Source organism: Homo sapiens, chromosome 7 (genome assembly GCF_000001405.40).
Source record: "Homo sapiens chromosome 7, GRCh38.p14 Primary Assembly".
NCBI lineage: Eukaryota > Metazoa > Chordata > Mammalia > Primates > Hominidae > Homo > Homo sapiens.
The window spans coordinates 98,086,779-98,113,277 of NC_000007.14; the positions used below are offsets into that span (position 1 = coordinate 98,086,779).

General features: G+C 41.8%; 1 protein-coding gene across 2 annotated transcripts in view; it reads left to right on the forward strand.

Moving 5' to 3' along the window:
- The window catches only part of LMTK2 (lemur tyrosine kinase 2), a 102,777-nt gene continuing 96,361 nt past the window's right edge, over positions 20,084 to 26,499 (forward strand). The window contains exon 1 of one of the 2 annotated variants that reach the window (NM_014916.4): positions 20,084 to 20,502. In NM_014916.4, coding sequence (NP_055731.2) covers positions 20,400 to 20,502 — 103 coding nt within the window. In that variant the 5' untranslated portion in view covers positions 20,084 to 20,399. The remainder of the gene's footprint in view (positions 20,503 to 26,499) is intronic. The other variant, XM_011515981.4, reaches the window with a different exon arrangement.

A 26,499-nucleotide genomic window follows, 5' to 3' on the forward strand; every position in this document is an offset into this window, starting at 1 on the left:
TTGCTGTGTCACCCAGGCTGGAGTGCAGTGGTGTGATCGTGGCTCACTGCAGCCTCTACCACTGGGGCTCAAGGGATCCTCCCACCTCAGCCTCCTGAGTAGCTGGGACCACAGGCATGTGCCACCATGCCCAGCTAATTTTTAATATTACTGTTTTAAAATACATGTAATTGTATTGAGTCTATCTTCTCTAAGGACAAAGGTTTACTCAGCAACTATTAACTTCAGGGTAGAGCTTGTTCTCCACCTCTGCTCTTCACCCTACTCCCCAGCCCCGATCTCACCAGAAAGCAAACCTTAACAGGGTCTCTCACCTGAGGGGTATCCAGGAGCAATTTGGTCCACACCTCATCTTCGCAAAAAGCTTTTAACGTATACTTTGTTGTTGTTGAGACAGGATCTTGCTCTGTTGCCTAGGCTGGAGTGCAGTGGTTCAATCATGGCTCACTACAGCCTTGATCTCTTAGGCTCAAGTGATCACAATCCTCCTGCCTCAGCCTCCTGAGTAGCTGGGACTACAGGTGTGCGCAGCCATGCCGGCTAATTTTTTTTTTTTTTTTTTTTTTCTGTAGAGATGGGGCCTTGCTATGTTGCCCAGGGCAGTCTTGAACTCTTGGTCTCAAGTGATCTTCCCACCTCAGCCTCCCAAAGTGCTGGGATTACAGGCATGAGGCACCGAGGCATGAGACGGGCCTCAATGTACACTTTTGACGTTATTCGGTTTTGACTCTGATACTTAGCAAGGATGCCGGAGCCAGGCTACCTGAGTGTGAACCCTGCTTCTGTCACTTACTAGCTATGTGACCTTGGCCAAGGTCCTTATCTTCTCTGTTTCTGTCTCCTCATCCACAAAATGGGAATAAGGATAGATTAAGCCAATCACCAAAAGCAACCTATTGTATGATTTCATTTATATAAAATGTCAAGAATCAGCTGAATGCAGTGGCTCCTGCCTGTAATCCCAGCATTGTGGGAGACCAAGGAGGGAGGATCACTTGAGGCCAGGAGTTCAAGACCAGCCTGGGCAACATAGCACGACCCTGTCTCTACCAAAAATAAAAACAAAAAAGCCCAGAACAGGCAAATCCATAGAAGCAGGAAGTAGATTAGTGGTTACCAGGGGGAATGGATGGGGAATGACAACTAACGGGTAGAGTTTCTTTTGTGGGTGATAAAAATATTCTAAAATTAGATAAAGCTTAAAGAGTTATTACTTATAAAGTGCTTACAGCAGTGTCTGACACATCAAAAGTGATCTGCAAGTCATTGTCGAATAAAACTTACCTCGAAAGGAAGGCATGAATACTAATGAGCTTGGAAAAAAAATGTTCATAATACAATTTTAAAATGGTATTTCATTCCCGAATCTCACTATCTGCTGTGTACTTTTTATCAATCCTGCTGTAATTATTTTGTGCATAGCATCATTATATAGCTGTATAAATTATGTACATTAAAAGTGTTAATTTGTTAGACTTAAATGTGTTAGCACGTTTTTACCATATTGGGTGGTTTCCGCACCCCCTCCAAAAATGGGTGGTGGCTCAAGGCTCTGTTGGCAGCTGGTGAGCTGTCCCTGAGTTACACAGGTTTAGAGGCAACAACAGGTAAGGACTTTGCACAAAGGCATTTGGAAAGACAGCCAATTGTCCATCATGATATCTCATCATTGCCCAGTTTGGTAATTGATGTATCATTTGCATTAATGATATACCACACATCATTATGCAGATAAAGTCGGCTATCATCCAGAATGAGGCACACAGCCTTTGATTGGCAGAGAACTAGGGAGAGTCAAATGACTTTTAACCTACTTGGTCTCCTTATTTGCCTAATGCTGAATTAAAGTCACGCAACCATGACAGGGATTCAAGTCAAGCAAAGGTGATCGTAAAGACCCGCAGGAGGGTGTCCTATGGCGAGGCCACTGATGTGCCGGCTAGGGGTTAACAAGTGGCTCTTGGCTGGGTGCGGTGGCTCATTCCTGTAATCCCAGCACTTTGGGAGGCTGAGGTGGGAGGATCACTTGAGCCCAGGAGTTGGAGACCAGCCTGGGCAACACAGCAAAAACCCATCTCTACAAAAAAATGTAAAAAAAACTCAGCCAGACGTGGTGGTGCATGGCTGTAATACCAGCTACCTGGGAGGCTGAGGTGGAAGGATTACTTGAGCCTGGGGAGGTCGAGGCTGCAGTGAGCTATGGTCATGCCATTGCGTACTCCAAGCTAGGCGACAGAGCAAGACCCTGTCTCAAAAAAAATAAATAAATAGGCGGGGTGCTGTGGCTTATGCCTGTAATCCCAGCACTTTGGGAGGCTGAAGCGGGAGGATCATGAGGTCAGGAGATCGAGACCATTCTGGCTAACAGTGAAACCTCGTCTCTACTAAAAATACAAAAAATTAGCCAGGTGTGGTGGCAGGCACCTGTAGTCCCAGCTACTCGGGAGGCTGAGGCAGGAGAATGGCGTGAACCCGGGAGGCGGAGCTTGCAGTGAGTCGAGATTGTGCCACTGCACTTCAGCCTGGGTGACAGAGGGAGATTCCATCTCAAAAATAAATAAATTAATTAATTAAATAAAATAAATAAATAAATAATAGAAAAAAGAAGACAGGAAAAGACACCAGGTATGCATGTGGCCGGAGGAAAGACCATGTCAGAGAGAACGCAGCCATCTACAAGCCAAGGAGAAAGGCCCCAGGAGAAACCAACCTGGTCAACACCTTGATCTTGGACTTCCAGCCTCCAGAGCTGTGAGACAAGAAGTTTCTGTTGTGTAAGCCGCCCAGTCTACGGCATTTTTTTTGTGGCAGCCCATGTAAACTAATACACTCAGAGAGCAGTTTGCCCTTAGAATAGGCAGGGAGGGTTGCCCAGGGTTCTTGTGCTGGAGGTGCCCATGTATCAGAAGCACAAACAGAAGTGTATCAAAGAACACATGGGCCCCCTGTCATTTGGGCAGTGTGCACCCTGTAACTAAACATCCATGTATCCACTCTCTTTTTTTTAAAAAAGGTTTTTTTTTTTTTTTTTTTTTTTTTTAGGCTGGGCACAGTGGCTCAAGCCTGTAATCCCAGCACTTTGAGAGGCCAAGGAGGGCAGATCACAAGGTCACGAGTTCGAGACCTGCCAGACCAACATGGTGAAACCCCATCTCTATTAAAAATACAAAAATTAGCCAGGTGTGGTGGTGCGTGCCTGTAATCCCAGCTACTGGGGAGGCTGAAGCAGAAGAATTGCTGGAACCTGGGAGGTGGAGGTTGCGGTGAGTTGAGATTGCACCACTGCACTCCAGCCTGGGCGACAGAGCAAGAAGACTCTGCCTCAAAAAAAAAAAAAAAAAAAAAAAAAAAAAAAAGAAAAGCGTTTTTGCTTTTTTTTTTTTTAAATAGGGACAGGGTCTCCCTATGTTGTCTAAATGGAATTGAACTCCTGGGCTCAAGTGATCACCCACTTTGGCCTCCCAAGGCACTGAGGCCAGGAGCTCCAGACCAACCTGGGCAATACAGTCAGACTGCCATCTCTATGAAAGAAATGTTAAAATGAGCCAGGCATGGTGATACATGCCTGCAGCTCAGCTACTCAGGAAGCTGAGGTAGGAGGATCACTCGAGCCCAGGAATTTGAGGCTGCAGTGAGCTATGATCGTGCCACTGCACTCCAACCTGGGCAACAGAGTGAGACTCTGTTTCGAAAAATAATAATAATAATCAAAGTAAATAATAAAACAATTAAAAAATGACTTTCTGGGTAAAAGGAGCCCCAATTAACAGTGTTTGCCAATTACCTGTGGTATAAATACTCATATCATGGCTTATTCAAGCTATAGACATGATGTCACTGAACTTGAAGGTGGGAAGAGGTACAGTATTATAATTCCCACCATAAAAAAAAAAAAAAAAAAAAAAAAGATGGGCCAGGCACGGTGGCTCACGCCTGTAATCCGAGCACTTTGGGAGGTGGAGGTGGGCGGATCACCTGAGGTCAGGAGTTCGAGACCTGCCTGACCAATATGATGAAACCCTATCTCTACTAAAAATACAAAAATTAGCCAGGCGTGGTGGCATGCACCTGTAATCCCAGCTACTCTGGAGGCTGGGACTACAGAATCACTTGAACCCGGGAGGAGGAGGTTGCAGTGAGCCGAGATTGCACCACTGCATTCCAGCCTGGGCAACAAGAGCGAAACTCCACCTCAAAAAAAAAAAAAAAAGTCAATAACCTTAAGAGCATAGGTAACATAATTAGGCATCAATAACTTTTAAGCATTTATTATCTTTGTTTTTTTCAATAACAACTTTATTGAGAGATAACTCAGACTATAAAATTCACCCCTTGACAGAGGTGAATTTTGTAGTATAGTCACCGAATTGTGCAACCATCACCATCATTTAACTTTAGAATATTTTCACCACTCTAAAGCAAACCAAACCCCTATACCTATTCACTGTCATTCCCCATTCCTTTCTCCATTCAGCCTCTGGAAATTACTAATCTACTTCCTGTCTCCATGGGTTTGCCTACTCTAAATTCCTGAAAATGAAATCATACGATGATGTAGCCTTTTGTGGCTGGTTTCTTTGATTTAGCATGATGTTTTCAGGGTTCATGCATGTTATAACATGTATCAGTGTTTCATTTCTTTTTTCCTGCTAAATAATATTCCATTGTATGGATATAACACATTTTGTCAATCCATTTATTCGTGGATGGGCATTTGGGGGGCTTTGGCTTTTTGGCTCTTATGAATAATGTTGTCATGAACGTTCATGAAAAAGCATTTGTTGGGATGTCTGTCTGTTATCATTTCTCTTTGGTATAAACCTAAAAATGGAATTGCTGGACAATATAGTGACTCTGTGTTTAACATTTTGAGGAACTGCTTGTTTTTCAATACCCCTGAACCCTTTTTTTTTTTTTTTAAAGTGATAGGATCTTGCTCTGTCCCTCAGGCTGGAATGCAGTGGTGCAATCGTAGCTCACTGCAGCCTCAAACTCCTGGGCTGAAGCAATCCTCCTGCGTCAGCCTCCCAAGCAGCTGCAACTACAGGTGTGCACCACCTTACTGGTCTAATTTTTAGTAGAGATTGGGGTCTCACTATGTTGCCCAGGCTGGTCTTGAATTCCTGGCCTCAAGTGATCCTCCTGCCTCAGCCTCCCAAATTGCTGGGATTACAAGCGTGAGCCACTGTGCCCAGCTAACCTGAACCATTTTGTATTCTGATGGGCAATGAGTGAGGGTTCCAATTTCTCCATATTCTTCCTAATACTTGTCTGTCTTTTTTATTATACCCATCCTGGTGGGTGTGAAGGGGTATCTCATCATGATTTTGATTTGCCTTTTCCTCATGGCTAATGATGTTGCACATCTTTTCATGTGCTTATTGTCATTTGTACATCTTCTTTGAAGAAATGTGTATTTACATCCTTTGCCCATTTGGCTGGGTGCAGTGGCTCATGCCTGTAATCCCAGCACTTTGGGAGGCCAAGTTGGGAGGATCACCCAAAGTCAGGAGTTCAAGACCAGCCTGGCCAACATGGTGAAACCCCTCTCTACTAAAAATACAAAAATTAGGTGGGTGTGGTGGTGGGCGCCTGTAATCCCAGCTACTCAGCAGGCTGAGGCAGGAGAATCGCTTGAACCCAGGAGGCGGAGGTTGCAGTGAGCCGTGATTGTGCCACTGCACTCCAGCCTGGGCAACAGAGTGAGACTCTGTCTCAAAAAAAGGAAAAAAAAAATCCTTTGCTCATTTTAAAATTAGTTTTATTTATATTATTATTGAGTTAAGAGTTCTTTATATATCTGAACACAAGTCCTTAATCAGATACATGATTTGAAAATATTTTCTCACATTCTGTGGGTTGCATTTTCACTTGTGTTCTTTCAAATACAAAAGTCTTTAATTTTGATGAAGGCTAATTTTGATGAAGTCCAATCTTTTTTTTTTCGCTTGTGCTTTTGATGTGCTTTCTACAAAAACATTACCTAATGTAAGGTGATGAAGATTTATACCTAGGTTTTCTCCTAAGAGATTTATTGTTTTAGCGCTTACATTTAGGACATTTTGAGTAAATTTTTTAAACTGCTTCTTGCAGATCACGGCTAACCCATAAGCAGCATGCCCAGAGTAGTCGAGTTAATTTTTTATATGGTGTAAAGTAGGAGTTTATTCCATTCTTTCCATGTGAATTGTCCCAGCACCATTTATTGAAAAACCATTATTTCCATTAAATTGTCTTGACAACCTTGCATAAAATGAATTGACAGTAAATGTGAGGGTTTATTTCTGGACTCTCAATTTTATTCCATTGATATCTATATCTATCTTAATTCTTCTTATGCAGTACCACACTGTTTTCATTACTGTAGCTTTGTAGTAAGTTTTGAAATCAGACCATGTGAGTCCTCCAACTTTGTTATTTTTCAATATTGTTTTGTCCATAGTGGATCTTTTGGAACTCAAAATGAATTTTAGAATCAGCTTCTCAATTTCTGCCAAAAAGGCAGCTTTTTGGGGATTTTGATAGGAACTGCATTCAATCTGTAAATCAGTTTGGGAGTATTGCTGTCTTAACAACATTACATCTTCTAATCCATGAACATGTGATGTCTTTCCATTTATTTAGATCTTTAATTTCTTCCAGTAATGTTTTATAGTGTTCAGAGTATAAATTATTCCTAAGTATTTTGTTAAATTTGTTCCTAAGTACTTAATTCTTTCTGACGCTATTGTAACTGAATTGTTTAAATTTCTTTTTTGATTTCTCATTGCTAGTGTACAGACACAATTGATTTTGTATTGAGCTGTATCTTGCAACCTTGTTGAACTCATTTCTTAGTTCAAATAGTATTTTAATGGAGTCCTTGGTATTTTCTACATACAAGAGGATATTGTTATTGGTCAACAGAGATTGTTTTATTTTTTCCTTTTACGTCTGAATACCTTTCATTTTTTTTCATGACTAATTGCCTGGCTATAATCTCCAATATAATGTGAAATAGAAGTAACAAGAGTAGACATCCCTGTCTTGTTCCTGATCTTAGGAGGAAACATTCAGTCATATAGCAAGTATGATGTTTGTTATAGGGTTTTCATAGATGTGCTTTATTATGTTAAAGAAGTTCTCTTCCATTCCTATTTTGTTGAGTGTTTTTATCATCAAAGGGATTTTGTCAAATGCTTTTTTCATGCTTATTGAGATGATCATGTGTTTTTTGTCTTTTATTCTACTAATATGGTATATGTTGACATTGATTGATTTTCATATGTTAAACCAAGTTTGCATTCGTGGGATAAATCTCACTTGGTCATGGTGTGTAATTCTTTTCATATGCTTTTAGATCCTGTTTCCAAGTGTATTGTTAAGGATGTTTGCATCTATATCCATAAGGGATATCAGTAAATAGTTTTCTTGAGCAATGCTGGCTTCATAGAATGAGACAGGATTCCTTTTCTATTATTTGGAAAAGTTTGTAAAGGACTGGTGTCATTCCTTTCTATTAATGTATGTTTTGAAGTATTCAGTAATAAAGCTGTCTGGGCCTGGGATTTTCTTTGTGGAAAATTTTATGATTACTAATTCTGTCTCTACTCTTTATAGGTTTATTCAGGCTTTCTATTTCTTTTTAAGTCAGTTTTAGTAGTTGTGTCTTTCTAGGAATTTGTCTATTTCATTTAGGTTACCTAATTTGTTGGCATACAGCTGTTAATAATATTCCCTTATAATTATTTTTTATTTCGGTAAGGTTGGTAGTGGTATCCTGTATTTCATTTCTTATTTTAGTAATTTGAGGTTTATCTCCTTTTTTTCTTGGTCAGTCTAGCTAAAAGTTTCATTTTTGTCAATCATTTCAAAGGATAAACATTTGGTTTTGTTGTCTTTTCTCTATTACTTCATTTATTTCTGTTTAATCTTTATTTCCTCCTTCTCCTAGCTGTTGGTTTAGTTTGATCTTCTTTTCCTAGTTTCTTTTTTTATTTGTTTGTTTTTGAGATGGGATCTCACGTTGCCCAGGCTTGTCTTGAACTTCTGGGCTCAAGTGATCCTCTTGCCTCAGCCTGACAAGTAGCTTGGATTATAAACTATAGGTGCATACCACCACACTTGGCTCCATATTTTACTAGTTTCTTAGGTGGAACACTAGGTTATTAATTTAAGATATTTCTTCTTTTATACTTTAGGTGATTAAAGCTATACATTTCTCTGTAAGCACCACTTTATCTACATCCTATAAATTTTGTATGTTGTGTTTTCATTTTCATTTATCTCAAATTATTTCCTAATTTCCTTTGTGATTCCTCCCTCCCTCCCTCCCTCCCTCCCTCTCTCTTTCTTCCTTTCTTTCTTTTTTCTAGCTTTGTCACCCAGGCTAAAGTGCAGTGGCATGATCTTGGCTCACTGCAACCTCCACCTCCCGGGTTCAAGCAATTCTCCTGCCTCAGCCTCCCAAGTAGCTGGGATTACAGGCGCCTACCACCCATGCCTGGGTATTTTTTGTATTTTTACTAGAGACAGGGTTTCACCATGTTGGCCAGGCTGGTCTCAAACTCCTGACGTCATGATCCACCCACCTTGGCCTCCCAAAGTGCTGGGATAACAGGTGTGAGCCACTGCACTCCATCCCTTTGTGAGTTCTTGATTCATTTGTTATGTAAGAGTGTGTTGCTTAATTTCCACATATTTGTGAATTCCCCAAACTTCCTTTTATTGTTGATTTCTAACTTCACTCTACTCTTGTCAGAGAACACATACTTTATTAGATTTTAATTCTTTTAAATTTATTGAGGCTTTAAAAGTGGCCCTGAATATGGTCTATTCTGAAGAATGTTCCAGATGCATTTGAGAAGAGTATATATTCTTCTGTTCTTGACTGGAGTGTACTATAGATGTCTGTTGGTCTAGCTGATTTATGGTGTTGTTCAAGTCTGCTGTGTCCTTGGCTTTCTACCCAGTTGTTCTATCTATTACCAAAAGTGGGGTAGTGAAGTCCAAAGTATTATTTTTTGAATCGTCTATTTCTTTCTTCAATTATGTCAGTTTTTGCTTCATGTATTTTGAAGCCGTGTAGTTAGGCGCATGCTTCTACATAATTGTAATATCTTCTTGATAGATTGACCATCATTATAAAATATCCTTCTTTTTCTTGTTGTTTCACATTCTATTGTCTGATATTAGTATAGCCACTCAACCTCTCTTTTAGATGCTTTTTTCCTGGTTTTCTTTTATCTCACTTTAAATTTATTTTGCTTTGAATCTAAAATGTGTCTCTAGTAGACAGCATATAGTTGAATGATGTTTTCCTATTCATTCTGCCAATCTCTACCTTTTGATTAGAGTGATAAGTCCATTTCCATCTAATGTAATTATCAATAAGATACGATGAAGATGATGATGATAATTTACTAATTTTTTTAAAGTAAGGGTTTCACTCTGTCACTCAGGCTGGAGTGCAGTGGTGCAATTATAGCTCATTGCAGCCTCAAACTCCTGGACTCAAACAATCCTTTCACCTCAGTCTCCTGAGAAGCTAGGATTACATTTGCATGCTACCACACCCAGCTAATTTAAACAATTTTTGTAGAGATGGAGCCTCACTATGTTGCCCAGGGTTGTCTCAAACTCTGGGCTTAAGTGATCCTCCTGCCTTGGCCTCCCAGATCCCTGGGAGTACAGGTGTGAGTTACTGTGCTGCTCATCAGCAAAATAGGATTATGTCTGTCATTTTGCTATGTATTTTCTATATGTCTTATGTGCTTTTTATTCCTCTATTCCTCCATTACTGCCCACTTTTGTCTAAAGTAGATATTTTCTAGTGTACAATTTTAATTCACTTGTTACTTGTTTTTAAATATATATTTCGAGTTTTCTTAGTGGTTGCCCTAGAAATTACAATTAACATAATACCCTAAAACAAGCTAGATACGATTAATAGCAGCTTAATTTCAATAGTGTTTAAAACGTTGCTCCAGTATAGCTCTCTTCCCACATCCATGTTTTGTGCTATTATTGTCATACAAATTATATCTTTATATAAGTCCCTCTGCCAGTTTTATAATTGTTGCTTTATGTAGTAGTCTTTTAAATCAGATAGGAGAAAAGAAAGTTATAAAGAAAAATACATTTATATTTATATTCTTATATTTAGTGATATAGTTTCCTTCTCCTGGTGTTTTTTATTTCTTTATGTGAATTCAAGTTTCTGAATAGTGACTTTATTTCTGTTTAAAGGACTCCCTTTAGTATCTCTTGTAGTAAACATTGTTAGCAACAATTTCACTCTGTTTTTGTGTATTTGGAAATGTCTTGATATTTATTTTATTTTTGAAGCTTTACTGGACATATAATTCTTGTTTGACAGTCTTTGTCTTTCAGCTCTTTAACATGTCAGCACTTTGAATTTGTTGTCCCACAACCTTCTGGCCTCCATGGTTTCTGATGAAAAGTCAGCTGTTAATCTCATTGTGGAACTTCTATATATAATGAGGTTCTTTTTCATGTTGCTTTCTAGATTCTCTCTTTGTCTTTGTCTTTGAACAGTTGGTTATGATGTGCCCAGATGTGGATTTCTTTAAGTTTATCCTACTTGGAGTTATTTCAGCTTCTTGGATGTGTAGCCTAACACTTATCATGACATCTGGGAGATTTTCAGCCATTATTTCTTCAAATGTACATATTTTTTCCCTTTCTCTCTATCCTCTCCTTCTGGGAATCCCCCACTTTATGTATTTTGGTATGCTCAATGGCATCCCACAGAGCTTTGAGGCTTTGTTATTTTTTTCTTTTAAAATAAGCTTTCGATAGTTTCAGATTTATAGAAAGGTGTAAAGCTAGTACAGAGAATTCCTATATATCCCACACCCAATTTTTCCTGTTATTACTTTACATTAATGTGGTATATTTGTTATCATTAATGAATTGCTATTGATATATTATTCCAACTAAAGCCCATATCTTACTCAGATTTCCTTAGTTTTCACCTAATGTCATTTTTCTGTTCCAAGATCTTATTTTGGATACCACATTATATTTAGTTATCATATCTCCTTAGACTCCTCTTGGCCATGACAATTTCTCAGACTTTCTTTGTTTTTCATGACCCTGACATTAAAAAAAATGTTTTTTAAATAACCAAATACTTGCAACAAATGACCTTGACATTTTTGAAGACTACTGGTCAGGTATTTTGTAGAATGTCCCTTAATTCGGATTTGTCTGATTGGACTAATGTTATACATTGAGGATGAAGACCACAGCTCATCACATCATATCAAAAATACATAGTATCAACATGGCTTAACAGTGTTGATGCAGACCTTGTCAGGTTTCTCCACACTTTGGTAAAACTACTCCCCCCACCCCCACACTATACTTTGTTCATTTTTATTCATTTGGTTTTCCTTCTACTCCTCAGACTGGATGATCTCAATTTACCTATTTTCAAGTTCATTGATGCTTTTTTCTGTCAGCTCAAATCTGCTATTGAGTCCTTCTAGTGAATTTTAAATGTCAGTTATTGTACTTCTCAACTCCAGAATTTTTATTGGGTTCTTTTTAAAGTAACTGCTGTCTCTTTGTCAATATTCTCTTTTTTTAAGTAATTGTGTGCACAGGTAATGAACTCCCTTTTTTGAAGTATAATTCAATAGCTTTAAACATATTTACAGATAAAATTTTAGAACATTTTCATCATCCCCCAAAGAAATTCCATACCCATTAGCAGTCATTCCTCATTTCTTCCCCACCCTGTCAGCCCCAGGCAATTACTAATCTATTCCCTTCCCTCTTCAGCCCCTGGCAAACACTAACTTACTTTCTGTCTGTATGGATTTGCCTATGCTAGACATTTCATAAAAATTGAATCATACAATATTTGGTCTTTTCTAACTGGCTTTGTTCACTAAGCATTATATATTTAAAGTTTACCCATGGTGTACCACATATCAATACTTCATTCCCTTTTTTGTTGGTGACTAATATTCTATTTTAAGGATATACTATATTTTGCTAATCCATTCATCAGTTGATGGACATCTGGGTTATTTCTACCTTTGGGCTATTATAAATAATTCTGCTATGAACATTTGTGGGAAAGGTTTTATATAGACATACATCTTCAATACTTTTAGGTATATACCAGGAATAGAACTGCTGGGTAATATTGTACCTCTGTATTTAACATTTTAAGGAACTACCAGACTGTTTTCCAAAGCAGCAATACCATTTTACATTCTCATTTGTAATGCATGAGAGTTCCAACTTTTCTACAACCTCACCAGTCTTGTGTCTCATATTTTAAAAATTAGACCTGTCTTTTTATAAACTAAAACCATCCTATTGTGCATGAAGTGGCATTGATTTGCATTTCCCTGATGGCTAAAGATGTTGAGCATCTTTTCATTTGTTTATTGTTCATCTGTATATCTTCTTTGAAGAAATGTGTATTCATACCCTTTTGCCTAGTTCTTAATTAGGCTGACCAGGTGCTGTGGTTCATGTCTGTAATCCTGACACTTTGGGAGGCCGAGGGGGGGTGGATCATTTGAGGTCAGGGGTTCAAGACCAGCCTGGCCAACATGGCAAAACCCTGTCTCTACCAAAAATACAAAAATTAGCTGAGCGTTGTGGCACATGCCTGTAGTCTCAGCTACTCGGGAGGCTAAGGCAGGAGAATCACTTGAACCCAGAAGGCAGAGGTTGCAGTGAGCCAAGATTGCACCACTGCACTCCAGCCTGGATGACAAAGTGAGACTCTGTCTCAAAAAAAAAAAAAAAAATTAATTGGGCTATTTGTCTTCTTGTCATTGAGTTGTTAAGACTTCTTTTTGTAATTTTTTTTTTTTTAAATTTTTGGTGTTTGGTTTGGGAGGTATTTTGTTGTTTTCTTATTTTTTATTTATTTTATTTTTTGAGATGGGGTTTCTCTATTTGCCCAGGCTGGTCTTGAACTCTCAGGCTCAAGCAATCCTCCTGCCTCAGCCTCCCAAGTAGCTGGAATTACAGGCATGTGCTACTGTGCCCAACTTGTAAGAGTTCTTTTTGTATTCTAGATGCAAGTAACTTATCATATATATGGATTTCACATATTTTCTTTCATTTTGTGGGTTATCTTTTTACTTTCTTGGTTGTGCTTTTTGAATCACAAAAGTTTTAAATTTTGAAGCCAAATTTATCTATTTTTTCTTTGTTTGCTTGTGCTTATAGTATCCTATCTCTGAAACAAACCTAATCCAAAGTAATAAGGATCTATGCCTACATTTTCTTGTAAGATTTTCATAGTTTTAGCTTTTGCATTAGGTTCTTGATCTATTTTTAGTTAATTTTTGTACATGACATTAGGTAGGGGCCGATCATCATCATTCTTTAGCATGTGGATATCCACTGTCTCACAGCATTTGTTAAGAAACTATTCTTTTCCATTGAATTGTCCTATACCCTGGTTGAAAATCAATTGACTGTCAATCTTAAGATTTATTTGTAGACCCCTAATTATATTGTTTGATGTATAATGTCAGTGCCACACTGTTTTGATTACTATAGTTTTGGAATATATTTTGAAGTCAGAAAATGTGAATCTTCCAACTTTGTCTCCTGAACCCTGCCCAAGATTGTTTTGACTATTCTGGGGCCCTTAAATTTCCATATGAATCTTAGGATCAGCTTCTCAATTTCTGAAAAGAATCCAGAGGGAATGGATGGGAATCACATTAGATCTATAGATCAATTTGGAGAGTATTGCCTTAACAATATTGTCTTTTGATCCAGGAACATGGGATGTCTTTCCATTTATTGAGGTCTTCTTTATTGTTTTTCAATCAACCGTTAATTCTTTAGACATATTTATAATAATTATTATTATTTAATTGTAATAATTATAATTTAAAGTCTTTGTCTATTAAGTCCAACTTCTCAGCATCTGATATGGCTTGGCTCTGTGTCCCCACTCAAATCTCATCTTGAATTGTACTTCCCATGCATTGTGGGAGGGACCTGGTGGGGGATAATTGAATCATGGGGGTGGTTTCCCCCATACTGTTCTTGTGGTAGTGAATAAGTCTCACAAGATCTGATGGTTTTATCAGGGGGTTCCACTTTTGTGTCTTCCTCATTCCCTCTTTGCCTGCCGCCATCCATGTAAGACAGCACTTGCTCCTCCTTGCCTTCTGCCATGATTGTGAGACTTCCCCAGCCATGTGGAACTGTAAGTCCAATTAAATATCTTTTTTTTTTTTTTTTTTTGAGACAGATTCTTGCTCTGTCTCCCAGGCTGGAGTGCAGTGGTGCCACCTTGGCTCACTGCAAGCTCTGCCTGCCGGGTTCACACCATTCTCTCACCTCAGCCTCCCAAGTAGCTGGGACTACAGGCGCCTGCCACCATGCCCGGCTAATTTTGTTTTTGTATTTTTAGTAGAGACGGGGTTTCACTGTGTTAGCCAGGATAGTCTCCTTGATCTCCTGACCTCGTGATCCGCCTGCCTCGGCCTCCCAAAGGCCTGGGGTTACAGGCATGACCGCTCCACCCGGCCATTAAATCTCTTTCTTTTGTAAATTGCCCAGTCTTGGTGAGTATGTCTTTATGAGCAGCATGAAAATGGACTAATACAGAATCCTCAGGGAAAGTTTTTGTTGTCTAATTTTTCATCCTGTGTATGAAGCATATTTTCTTGTTTCTTTTTCTGTCTTGTAACAATTTTTCGAAAACTGGACATTTAAAATTGCATAATGTGGAAACTCTGGAATAGGTTTTCCCTGATATTCCCCTTCCACAGGGTTTGCATTGTTGGTGCTGTTTGTTATTGCTGTTGCTGCCATCATTCATTTTTAAAGGGCCTTTCCTGGTCTAATTCTGTATTTTGAAAAATTTGTGAATGGCCACCAAAGTCTCTGTTTAGTTAGCTTAGTGGTCAGCTAATGACTACAGAGATATCCTTAAATTCTTTTTTTTTTTTTTTTTTTTTTTTTTTGATATAGAGTTTTGCTCTTGTCATCCAGGCTGGAGTGCAGTGGTGTGATCTCGGCTCACTGCCACCTCTGCCTCCTGGGTCCAAGTGATTCTCCTGCCTCAGCCTCCCGAGTAGCTGGGATTACAGGCGCGTGCCACCATGCCCAGCTAATTTTTGTATTTTTAGTAGAGACAGGGTTTCACTATATTGGCCAGGCTGGTCTCAAACTCCTGACCTCAGGCGATCTGCCCAACTTGGCCTACCAAAGTGCTGGGATTACAGGCGTGTGCCACTGTGCCTGGCCTCCTTAAATTATTTGAGCCAATATGTCTCCCTGGTTTTGCTAAGAGTCTCTGTATGTGTGTTGGAGCATGCATCTGATGCTCTGGCAGTTTAAAATTCTGCCCCAGTCCTTACTGTGCTTGCACAGCCTCATGATCAACTAGGAATGAGAAACGAGGGCCTTCTCATGTATTTCCTAGCCATGTTCATAGCCTTGTACATGCACATGGCTTTCTAGATTTCCAATAATATGGTGGATCTTTTCAAAGCTCCCAATGACATATTATTCCCTAGATTTTTCTTTTAAGTTTCTCATCAGCCAACTGGTATCACTGGCTCAGGCAATTGCAATGTTAAACAGTTGTCACTGATTATTTTCAACAAACAGGATAGGACTATTTTCACTGAGGCATTTCTGAGTCATATCAAATGAAGAAAAGCCCTGAAAATAGTGCCTTTCTAAGGAGCTGCCAGACAGGTCAGATAGTCACAGTTCTTTGGGGATACAGGTTTTGGGGGAGCTCCAAACCTATTCTGCCCCCTCTGGTAGCTGCTAGCCTGCTTATTTCCACAGTTCCCATGGTGGTGAAGTTGCTGGTTTTCAAGGCTATCACAGAGGTGGGGAGAGAAGAATGGAAATAGGGCAAGTAAAAATTTCATGAAGCTCATTATTCTTATGAGATTTGGCCATTTTCCTTTTCTTTATTTTAAGAGACAGGGTTTCACTATGTAGCACAGGCTGGAGTGCAGTGGTGGAATCACAGTTCACTGCAGCCTCAAATTTCTGGGCTGAAGCAATCCTCCCATCTCAGCCTGCCAAAGTGCTGGGACTACAGGCATGTGCCACTGTGCCTGGCTAATTATTTATTTTTAGTAGAGATTGGGGTCTCACTATGTTACCCAGGCTGCTCTCAAACTCCCAGGCTCAGGTGATCCTCCTACCTCAGCCTCCCAAAGTGTTCGTATTACGGGCGTGAGCCACCACACCTGGCCTCAGCCATTTTTCTTTAACAAATTGACTCATGATATTGCAAACCTCTGGCAAATTCCTAGAGTTCTGAAGAAGTTTATGTGGACAATTTTGCTAGTGCTCTTCTTGCCTTCCATTCTTCAAGTATCAGTCCATTCTTGCATTGCTATAAGGAATACCTAAGATTGGGTAATGTATAAAGAAAAGAGGTTTAATTGGCATATGGTTCTGCAAGTTGTACAGGAAGCATGATGCTAGAATCTGCTTGGCTTCTGAAAGGCTTCAGAAAACTTACTATGATGGCAGTACGCAAAGGAGGAGCGAGGCATCTCACACGGTGGGAACAGTAGAGAGAGAGAGGGAGGAGGTGCTACACACTTTTTAAACAACTAGATCTCGTCAAAGATCACTCGCCATCACAAGAACAGCACCAAGAGGATGGCGCTGAACCATTCATGAGAACCCTCTCCCATGATCCGATCACCTCCTACCAGGCCCCACCTCCAAAACTGTGGATTACATCTCCACACATGAGACCGGGTGGGAACACAAGCCCAAATCGTATCCAAATGCTTCCCTCATGACCTTTGTTTTTAAAATAATTTGTTTAATTATACATTTATATAATTTATTTATTTATTTTTGAGATGGAGTCTCACTCTGTTGCCCAGGCTGGAGTGCAATGGCATAATCTCAGCTCACTGCAACCTCTGCCTCCTGGGTTCAAGTGATTCTCCTGCCTCTGCCTCATGAGAAGCCGGGATAACAGGTGCCAGCCACCATGCCCAGGCCATCTTGGCCTGGCTGGCCTTGAACTCCTGACCTCAAGTGATCCACCTGTCTAGGCCTTCCAAAGTGCTGGGATTACAGGCGTGAGCCACTGCCTATAACTTAAATTTTAACAATGGCTGTGTTGAACAACCAATGCGCATAATTCCTGAACATGTTAACAATTGGCTTTCATGAGTTGGCACCAGCAGCTCCAGGACCCCACCAACAGGCCTCCTGGGTGCCCCATTTGATCCAGCTGAGCTCTGTGAACCTTTAGAGTATCTGCTAGGTGCCAGAGCTCCAGAAGTGCTCATCCAATACTAAGCTGACTCCACATCCTTCAGCATCCAGGCCTCAGCCAGAGCTTGCTGGCAGGACAGACACTGGCAGGAGGGTCTTCCAAGCGATAGCTTGGCATGAAGGAAAACTTGAAAGAGGCTTGGCATGAAGGAAAACTTGCAAGAATGGCTGTAAAGGGCTGGGCGTGGTGGCTCATGCCTATAATCCCAACACTTTGAGAGGCCGAAGTGGGCAGATCACTTGAGGTCAGAAGTTCAAGACCAACCTGGCCAACATGGTGAAACCCTGTCTCTCCTAAAAATACAAAAATTAGCCAGGTGTGGTGGCGGGCGCCTGTAACCCCAGCTACTCAGGAGGCAGAGGCAGGAGAATCACTTGAGCATGGGAGGCAGAAGTTGCAGTGAGCCAAGATCACACCACTGTACTCCAGCCTGGGTGACAGAGCGAGACCCTGTTTCAAAAAAGAAAAAAAAAAAAGAATGGCTGTAAAACACTGAAAGATATTGCTTCTAATCTTAGGTATTGATTTCCAAATTGTGCTAAAGGCTGTTTTCTGACTTCTGGGTGAAACTAAACAAAGCCAACAGGTTTTTGTTTGTTTAATAACATCTCTAACTGGAAGTCTTCAAGTATTGAGTAAAGGCATACACGGTGAGGTGGGTGGTGGGGCAAAGGCTGCCTTTAGACATCATCTGGGGGATGTGCACTGTAACCCCTGTTCTGTGAAAGAGGAAAAGAAGTTTGTTTATTTGTTTGTTTGTTTTAACTTTTGGGCTTGCTCAAATAATAGCAAAATCTACTTTGGGATTGTGGTCCAACGTGCTGTTGGAGTGCACTTTAGTTGTAAATAACCACTACCAGGATTATCAGGTAAGGCCTTCCTTAGGCCAGCACTACAGCAGGCAGTCACGAGCCTCCTTGCAGTACACAGTGTGGGTGTCCCTGGCTTCTCTGAACTCAAAGTGAGAAGCTTCCTGATAGAAGTAGAAGTATAGGCTAGGCGCGGTGGCTCATGCCTGTAACCCCAGCACTTTGGGAGGCCGGAGTGGGCAGATCACGAGGTCAAGAGATCGAGACCATCCTGGCCAACATGGTGAAATCCTGTCTCTACTGAAAATACAAAAATTAGCCAGGTGTGGTGGCGGGCACCTGTAGTCCCAGCTACTCAGGAGGCTGAGGCAGGAGAATCGCTTGAACCCAGGAGGCAGAGGTTGCAGTGAGCTGAGATCGCACCACTGCATTCTAGCCTGGTGACAGAGACAGACTCTGTCTCAAAGAAAAAAAAAAAAGAAGTAGAAGTACAACAGGGTGATTGTGTCTCTTTCCTAGACCTTTGCCTTCCTTACCAATTCTGCATATAATCAGCAGAAAGCCGTGAACTTTTTTTTTTTTAAGACAGAGTCTCGCTGTGTCGCCCAGGCTGGAGTGCAGCGGTGTGATCTCAGCTCACCGCAACCTCCGCCTCCTGGGTTCGAGCAATTTTCCTGCCTCAGCCTCCCAAGCAGCTGGGATTACAGGCATGCGTCACCGTGTCTGGCTAATACTTTTTGTATTTTTAGTAGAGATGGGGTATGACCATGTTGGCCAGGCTGGTCTTGAACTCCTGGTCTGAAGTGATTCACCCACCTTGGCCTCCCAAAGTGCTGAGATTACAGGTGTGAGCCACCGTGCCCAGCCAAGCCATGGACTTTTAAATTCAATGTTTCTCGTTCCAGGTATTTGTCTCCTTAGATATTTATTGGCTTGCCTCAATCATCCAACAAATATTCCCTGGGCATCATCTGTGTGTCCAGTGCTGTGTTAACATCATCGACAGCTGGCATTTAGGATGGACATTTGGGGAGTTTGGAGAATTGGGGAGGTTACACTGTTGCCAGGTGGCAAAGTCTCATCTGATAAGATTGAAATCAGCTCCTCTCATGCACACACTGAACCATAGCGCCTCTCCAGAAAAGCTTAGCATTTTCCCAACCCCCATGCCTCTGACCACTATATTACTTGTGTCTGGAGAGTGCTTTCTCTATCCTCTCTGCAGGACTGTGTTCTCACCTCACCTCTTGGTGGGGAGAAGGCCACCCCTGGGAGCTGCTCTGCCCTGGTACCTGGGACCAGGGCCATGCACCATTGCTTTAGAGAACACCTGCTCCGACCCAGGTCCTGCACCAGGGATTTCCCACCAGCTGAATCAGACACAGTTGCTGTCCTCAGGGAGCTTACAGTCACGGGTCAATAGGATACTGCAGCTAGGATAGCAGTCCACACAGGGCCAGGGCGGGGCACTAAGGAGATGACAGTCATTTCTCCTAGAGAGTCATAGATGAAGTCATATGTCAGGTGAGTCTCGACAGATGAAAGGAAGAGTGTCTGCCAGGTGGACAAGAGGCAACAGCTTGAGCTCAGGAGGTGAGTCAGTGGGTGATGCCGAGAGAGGCATTCTCTTGATCAATTCAAGTGAAAAGCCCAAAGCTGTTTGATGGCTGAGAGGATGTGTAGGTCAACTTAAGGAGAAGAGCCTAAAACAGCTCTGACAAGTAAAAAAAAAAAAAAGGCAGAAGACAAGACAGGCCTATTTTTGCATGTTATAAAACACCGAGAAAAAAATATCAGGATGATTGTCATGGTCTTCTTTACATTTTCCTGTATTTTTCAATTTAAAATAATTGTTGGTGTTACCTGCTGCCCACGCACTCCTCCGTCTGCAGGGGGCGCACCGGCCGCCACCGCTCACTCCTTCAGGATGATGGGCGGGGCCTCCTGGGCCGGTGTGGACTGACGAGTGGCTGGCCGCCCTGTCCATCACGACATCCCGCCCCCGCGCTACGTCACATGACGCAGCCCATCATGGCGGCGGGAGCGCGGCTTCCCAGGCCCGCCGCTCCGCAGGGCTGCTGGCGTTGCTGCTGTTGAGAGGCGGCGGCGGCGGCGCAGGCGGGCGGGAAGGATGGTGTTTCTGCGACTGGAGCGGCAGGTGCGGACCGGGAGCCGGACCGAGGTTTGGCAGAAGCAACGTGTGCTCGGGAGCAACCGGCGCGGGTGCCACTGAGGCAGCGGAGGGAGGCAGGATCGACTGACGGGCGAACGGACGGACGGACGGAAGGCGACTCGAGGGCCGGCCCCGGAGCCGCGCCGTGGGCGAGATGCCGGGGCCGCCGGCGTTGCGGCGGAGGCTGCTGCTGCTGCTGCTGGTCCTCCTGATCGCCGGCAGTGCTGGGGCCGCGCCACTTCCGCAAACAGGTGCAGGTGAGCGGGCCCGCGGCGGGGACGGGGCTGCGGGGTCTTCGGCGTGGAGGGGAGGGGGCGGCAGGGCCGGGCCGGCCTCGGCGCCGAGGAATCGGAGGGCCTGCCGGGGGCGGGAAGCCCAGGGAGGCGAGTGATTAGGGAGATTTCTGCCGCAGGGGCGTGGGATTTGGGGGGGCGGGAGCGAGGCGACGTCGTTGGGGCTGGGGAGGGCGGCGGGCGAGGTAGCAGCCACCGACCCCTCCCGGGATAGGCTGCGGTGCCGGCCCTGGACCTGTTGCCTTAAGATCCTCAGCTTATATCGCTTCCTGGCAGTTCAGCTTCCCTTTCCAGATGTCACCTGCCTCTTGTGCTTTTTTTTCGCATCTCATAAGAACCGTTTCTTAGCCCTAATCATACTTAAATGCAAATGACTTGGCGAGCTGTGCGGAGTTTGTTTTCGCTCCTTGCAACTTATTCTGAAGTTGTAAATTGATTTTAGACGCTGTGCTTTTTATTCGGAATGTATCTCCGGGGATGAGAAGGAAACAACTATAAATATTTCTATTTTAGGAAGCCAGTGATTAGAGTAGCAGGCGTTGAATAACTATTGACAAACTGGCTTAAGGGTGATGGAAGTTTCTATTTTAGCTAACGTCAGTGTATGATTTTCTTTTCTCCCCCCCCGCCCATTTTCTCAACATCGTTTTTATTTGGGGTTTATTTTCCTAAATAAAACTTCAACCCAAGAAAACATCCCAAGTTGGGTCATTTTTCTAAAAAGGAAAAAAAAATCTAGGCTAACTTGGCGTTATTGACTGCCGCCATTACCTTTGAAATGGGGAAAGATTGAAATTTCATACATTCATAGAATGTTAGAGTTAGAAGAGACCTTAAAGAAAATTTAGACCAATTTCTTCTTTACGTAGTAGGAGATACTGGGCATGTTGGGTCAAATGACCTACCCAGGGTGACACAGCTTCGTTGTAGGCAGAGCCCCAAAGCCAGGTCTTAGATACCCCTAGTTGTATGATTTTTTTTAAGTCTTGTAACTGTTTTGGAATACTCTCGAGGTCAAGAGTTATTTTGGAATAATGTTAATTGGGTACAGAATGTGGATGTACTGTCTCCAGTAAAGACATATTTTTCAAACAAATCTACGATGAAAGCTACATGTAATTGCTTCCAGAGCTACATCAGGGTTTGTCATTGAGTGCCCTTTAGTTGAACGTTAAATGTCCTCATTGTACCGTATAATGTAGCACTAAATTTCTGTTACTGCCTTAGATCAAATACTTGTGAGGTGAATTCTGTTTTCTGATCCGATAGATAAGAAGAGTAAATGTTATCAGATGTGTATAGGCAACCCCGGAAAGAGTCACAGGAAATGCCTGGGAAATAATGAAAGATTATGTGGAAGGATGGTGATGTTGATATTTAAAGATATTGATATTGAAAGTTAGCACTAGTATAGTGTAGTAGGTAAAGAGTATTTATATGATGGGGATTCAAGAAATTTCCAGATGACTTTACACTTAATTGGATTTTTATATATTTTGAAGTATCGATTCTTTATAGGAACCTATGTCTGCCTGCACACTTTTTTTTTTTTTTTTTTTTTGAGACGGAGTCTTGCTCTGTCACCCAGGCTGGAGTGCATCATCGGTGCGATATCAGCTGACTGCAACCCCCCCCTTCCGAGTTCAAGCAGTTCTCTGCCTCAGCCTCCTGTGTAGCTGGGACTACAGGCCCCTGCCACCATGTCCGGCTAATTTTTGTATTTTTAGTAGAGACGGGTTTCATCATCTTGGCCAGGCCGGTCTTGAACTCCTGACCTCGTGATTCACCCGCCTCAGCCTCCCAAAGTGCTGGGATTACAGGCGTGAGCCACCGCGCCTGGCCACCTGTACACTTCTTACACGGTTTTTATTCCATTCTTTTACAATTTTATGGTGTCATGAATTATAAAATGAATTTTGTTGGGGTGTTGTAGAACAAAGCAATCAGAAAAGTTAATCTGTAAATAGAGATATCAAATCTTGACATACATATAGCATAAGGAAATATTTGGTAATTTGTAGCAACTTTTGCTACAAATTTTCCTTTCATATTCTGATCTTTGTAGGATAGGTGTATATGTTTTGACGTGTTGCATATGAATAATGGGTACCTAGGGTTAAAGTCTGTGGAAAAGACGCACAGTCAGGCCGGGAGCAGTGGATCACACCTGTAATCCCAGCACTTTGGGAGGCCCAGGTGGGTGGATTGCTTGAGGTCAGGAGTTCGAGACCAGCCTGACCAACATGGTGAAATTCCCTCTCTACTAAATATACAAAAATTAGCCGTGCGTGGTGGTGGGAGCCTGTAATCCCAACTATTTGGGAGGCTGAGGCAGGAAAATTGCTTGCACCCAGGGAGCGGAGCTTACAGTGAGCCGAGATTGTGCCACTGCATCATAGCCTGGGCAACAGAGTGAGACTCCGTCTCAAAAAAAAAAAAAAAAAAAAGAAAGGAAGATGCACAATCAGACATAGATATTCAGGGGCTTGTCTCTCCATCCAAAAGAGTTTATTGATCCTCGTTAGCTGAGGTGGGTTCTTGACCAAGATATATTAGACCAAGTTTAAAAAAAAACCTTTAAGCTAATCCTGACTAGTGAGCTCGCTGGTTAAAAAAGAGGAATCCCGCTTGACCATGTATGGTAGATAAAAGAGCAGTTACACGCCAAAAACCTAACTAAAGCTTCTGGTAATCTAGGAGCCTGCACTCCTTGTGAAGATAGAGCTAGACACTTTCAAATAAGGATAGACCCATTTCATAGGGTCTTTCGCCTCCTTGTTCTTCTTTCTGCTTGAAGCCTGATCAGTCTATCCAGTTTAATGGTGCCTTAGAGAAAGCATGCAGTTAACTGAAATTCAGCTTTTAAACTGAAGATCATTTATCTATGGTGTCTTCATCATCTAGATTCATTGCTAGACTCAGAAGCTGAAAAAGATATTTTCTTATTCAGTCATAATAAAGCTATGTAAATATATAGATTGCACTTGCCCATCAGGCAAGAAGGCATTTCTTGGTTGAACTTTATTTTGGGCCTCTTCTTTGAGCTGGGATGCCGTTTTGCCCCCTACGCCCGCCCCGTCTAGGAGCCTCTTTTCCTGAGAATCTGTGTTTCTGTAAGGGCCCTTGTTGTTATGTAGACTAAGACTTGTTGGTCCTCTCTAGGAAGCTTTTATGTAAAGGGAGAAAGTTCACTGTTTTCACACCCAGTTAAATTGCCAAACTAAGATTACAGTTCAGTTCTTTTCCCCAGATCATAGTTATCAGATCATTCTTCTCTTAGAAAACATGGATGCGCCTTTTCTAAGATTCTCAGGATTCACATCATAAACGGGGACTAGAAATAAAGAAAGATCTTGTATATGTGAACGAATTTCTCTAAGCTCACACTTTCTTATTAATATTAGGATAGTGGTGAGACAAGGAAACCCAGTTCTATTGTTCTGCAGCATATTAGGTCACAGAGTACAGAGGAAGCTTTTAGCAGCTCCAGATAAAGGACCTCACGGAAGCCCGTGAAGCCAGTGGGACTCAGCTACTGATTAAACAGCAGCTTGTGAAACCGAGCCTCTCGTTTTAGATTAAACAAACAGACTTGTATTTTGAAAAAGATTTCTAAAGTAAAGGAAATGCTTTCTAAAGTATGAATTACTGTGTTTAACAGCCTCTGGGAAAATTATTTTCAACAGGCTTTCTATGCAAATTATTTTAGGATTTATAGCTATAAATCTTGAAATTTGATTTTGGTTGGGATTGCTGCAATTACTTTTACTTGGTGATATTTTGGGGTTAACTAAATATGCTCATTTGAACAGTAATAGGAAGTCCGTCTGCAGTTTTGTAGCTGATTAGCACTGAAGTTATCAAATCCTTACAGTTTTGCTGATAATCAGTGTGCTGAGTGTTCCTGCAAATTCTCTTAAAAATTTAGAGTCCTTGGGCCCTCTCTGGCCCCTGTGTATTGTGTCACTTAGATAACAGCTGTAGATATAATTTTAAAAAGACACTGTCATATAAATAAGGGACGTCCAGGGTTCTGAAACAGTAAACAAATGAGTCCTCAAAAAAGTTCTTGTAAATGGACATATAGAAATAATCCAACTTTTTCGTTTAGTTGAGAGTAAAATTCATGAACCAATCCTAGCTGGAACAGAGTGTTGTAGGAAGAGCTTGGGCTTTGTAGTGAGATCTGGGTGTGAAGCCTTGGCTGCCGCTGGAATAGCTTAAGGACCCTGGGTCAGTTACTCGACCTCTGGGCTTAGAACTCCATCATTAAAAAGGGTGGCAATGACAATATTTACCCAAAGGGTTGTGGGGGGCACAGTGGTGTACCCTCTCACACTAGATTGCTTCATTGTTTCAGATTTCTTTGTAAATTTGGTTATCATCAAATTGACTAATGGCAGGTGGTATGGCATCAAAGCAGGAGCTCAAAGTGGTAGCTGCGTAACATGGCATGTCTAGAATTTACTGGATTTAAAAAATCTTTGTTGCTCAAAATAACTTTTTTATGGTGGATGGAGATGCTTTAGAGAGAAATCTGGTTTATTTAAGTCTAAGCTGGTATTGTTACTACTTGAAATTCGTAGTGTTGGAGAACTATGCTGGAAATTTTTAGGATCATCTGGGTTAGTCTGCTTTTATGTAATAAACCTGTTTTTAAAGTGGAAGATGACTAAAGCTCTTGCATGTGAACAGATGCTGATTTTAATTTATTTAAAGGAATCATGAGCACTTGAAAGTTTTTCTTGATCTTAAACACAATTGTGTATTGTCATGAGGCATCCCTGATTAACCCAGGTTGTAGTAGAACAAGCCCAGAGCTGATGCTTTCTCTTAGAAACCAGAGAGATGAATGTGACTGACGTTTTTCTTTCTCCCTCTCATTTTTCTTTTTTTTAAGAGACAGGATCTTGCTCTGCTGCCCAGGCTAGAGTGCAGTGGTGCGATCATAGCTCACTGCAACCTCCAACTCCTGGCCTCAAGAGATCCTCCCATTTCAGCCTCCCAAAGTGCTGGGGTTATAGGCATGAGTCACTGCACCAGGCAAGACTTGGTTTATCTGTAAAACGGAGAGAATAGTTACAGTCTTGTGAAGGTCCAAACCTGTGTTGTCTAGTACAATAGCCACTAGCTCCCTGTGGATGCTTAAATGTAAACGTTTTAGAACGAAAGCTTCAGTTCTTCAGTGGCACTGGCCACAAGTTAAGGGCTTGATAACTGCAGGTGGCTGGTGGCTACGGCATTGGACAGCACAGAAGAGAACTTCCCATTATGGAAAAAGGTTCTGTGGGACAGGGCTGGTGTGAGGCAGGTACAGTGCCCAGTCCTTGGTTAGGACATGTAAGGCCAGCTGTGATTATAATTATGATCATGATCCTGATTCTTCGTGAACTCCCAAATCTAGGCCCATTACAAGGGTGAGGGAAGTGAGAAGAGGGCTTTGAAAAAAGAAAGAAGAAAAGACAAAATAATTGTGGAGTTTTTGCTGGTGAAGAGATGAGAACTGAGGTAGCACAACCTCAGCTCCCCACTGCAGAACAGAAGAAAGAGACTTCAGGGAAAAACAGTCTTGCTCTGTCACTCAGGCTGGAGTGCAATGGCACAATCACAGCTCACTGTAGCCTCAAACTCCCAGGCTCAAGCAATCCTCCTGCCTCAGCCTCCTGAGTAGGTGTGTGTCACCTACAGACACTTACCTGTAGGTGTGTGACTACAGGTGTGTGCCACCATGCCCACTTTATTTTTTTGTAGAGATGGTGATATGGTTTGGCTGTTTCCTCACCCAATTCTTATCTTGAATTGTAGTTCCCGTAATCCCCATATGTCGTGTGAGGAACCCCATGGGAGATAGTTGAATCATGGGGGTGGTTACCCCCATGCTATTCTTGTGATAGTGAATGAGTTCTCACAAGATCTGATGGTTTTGTAAGGACTTTTCCCCCTTTGCTTGGCACTTCTCTC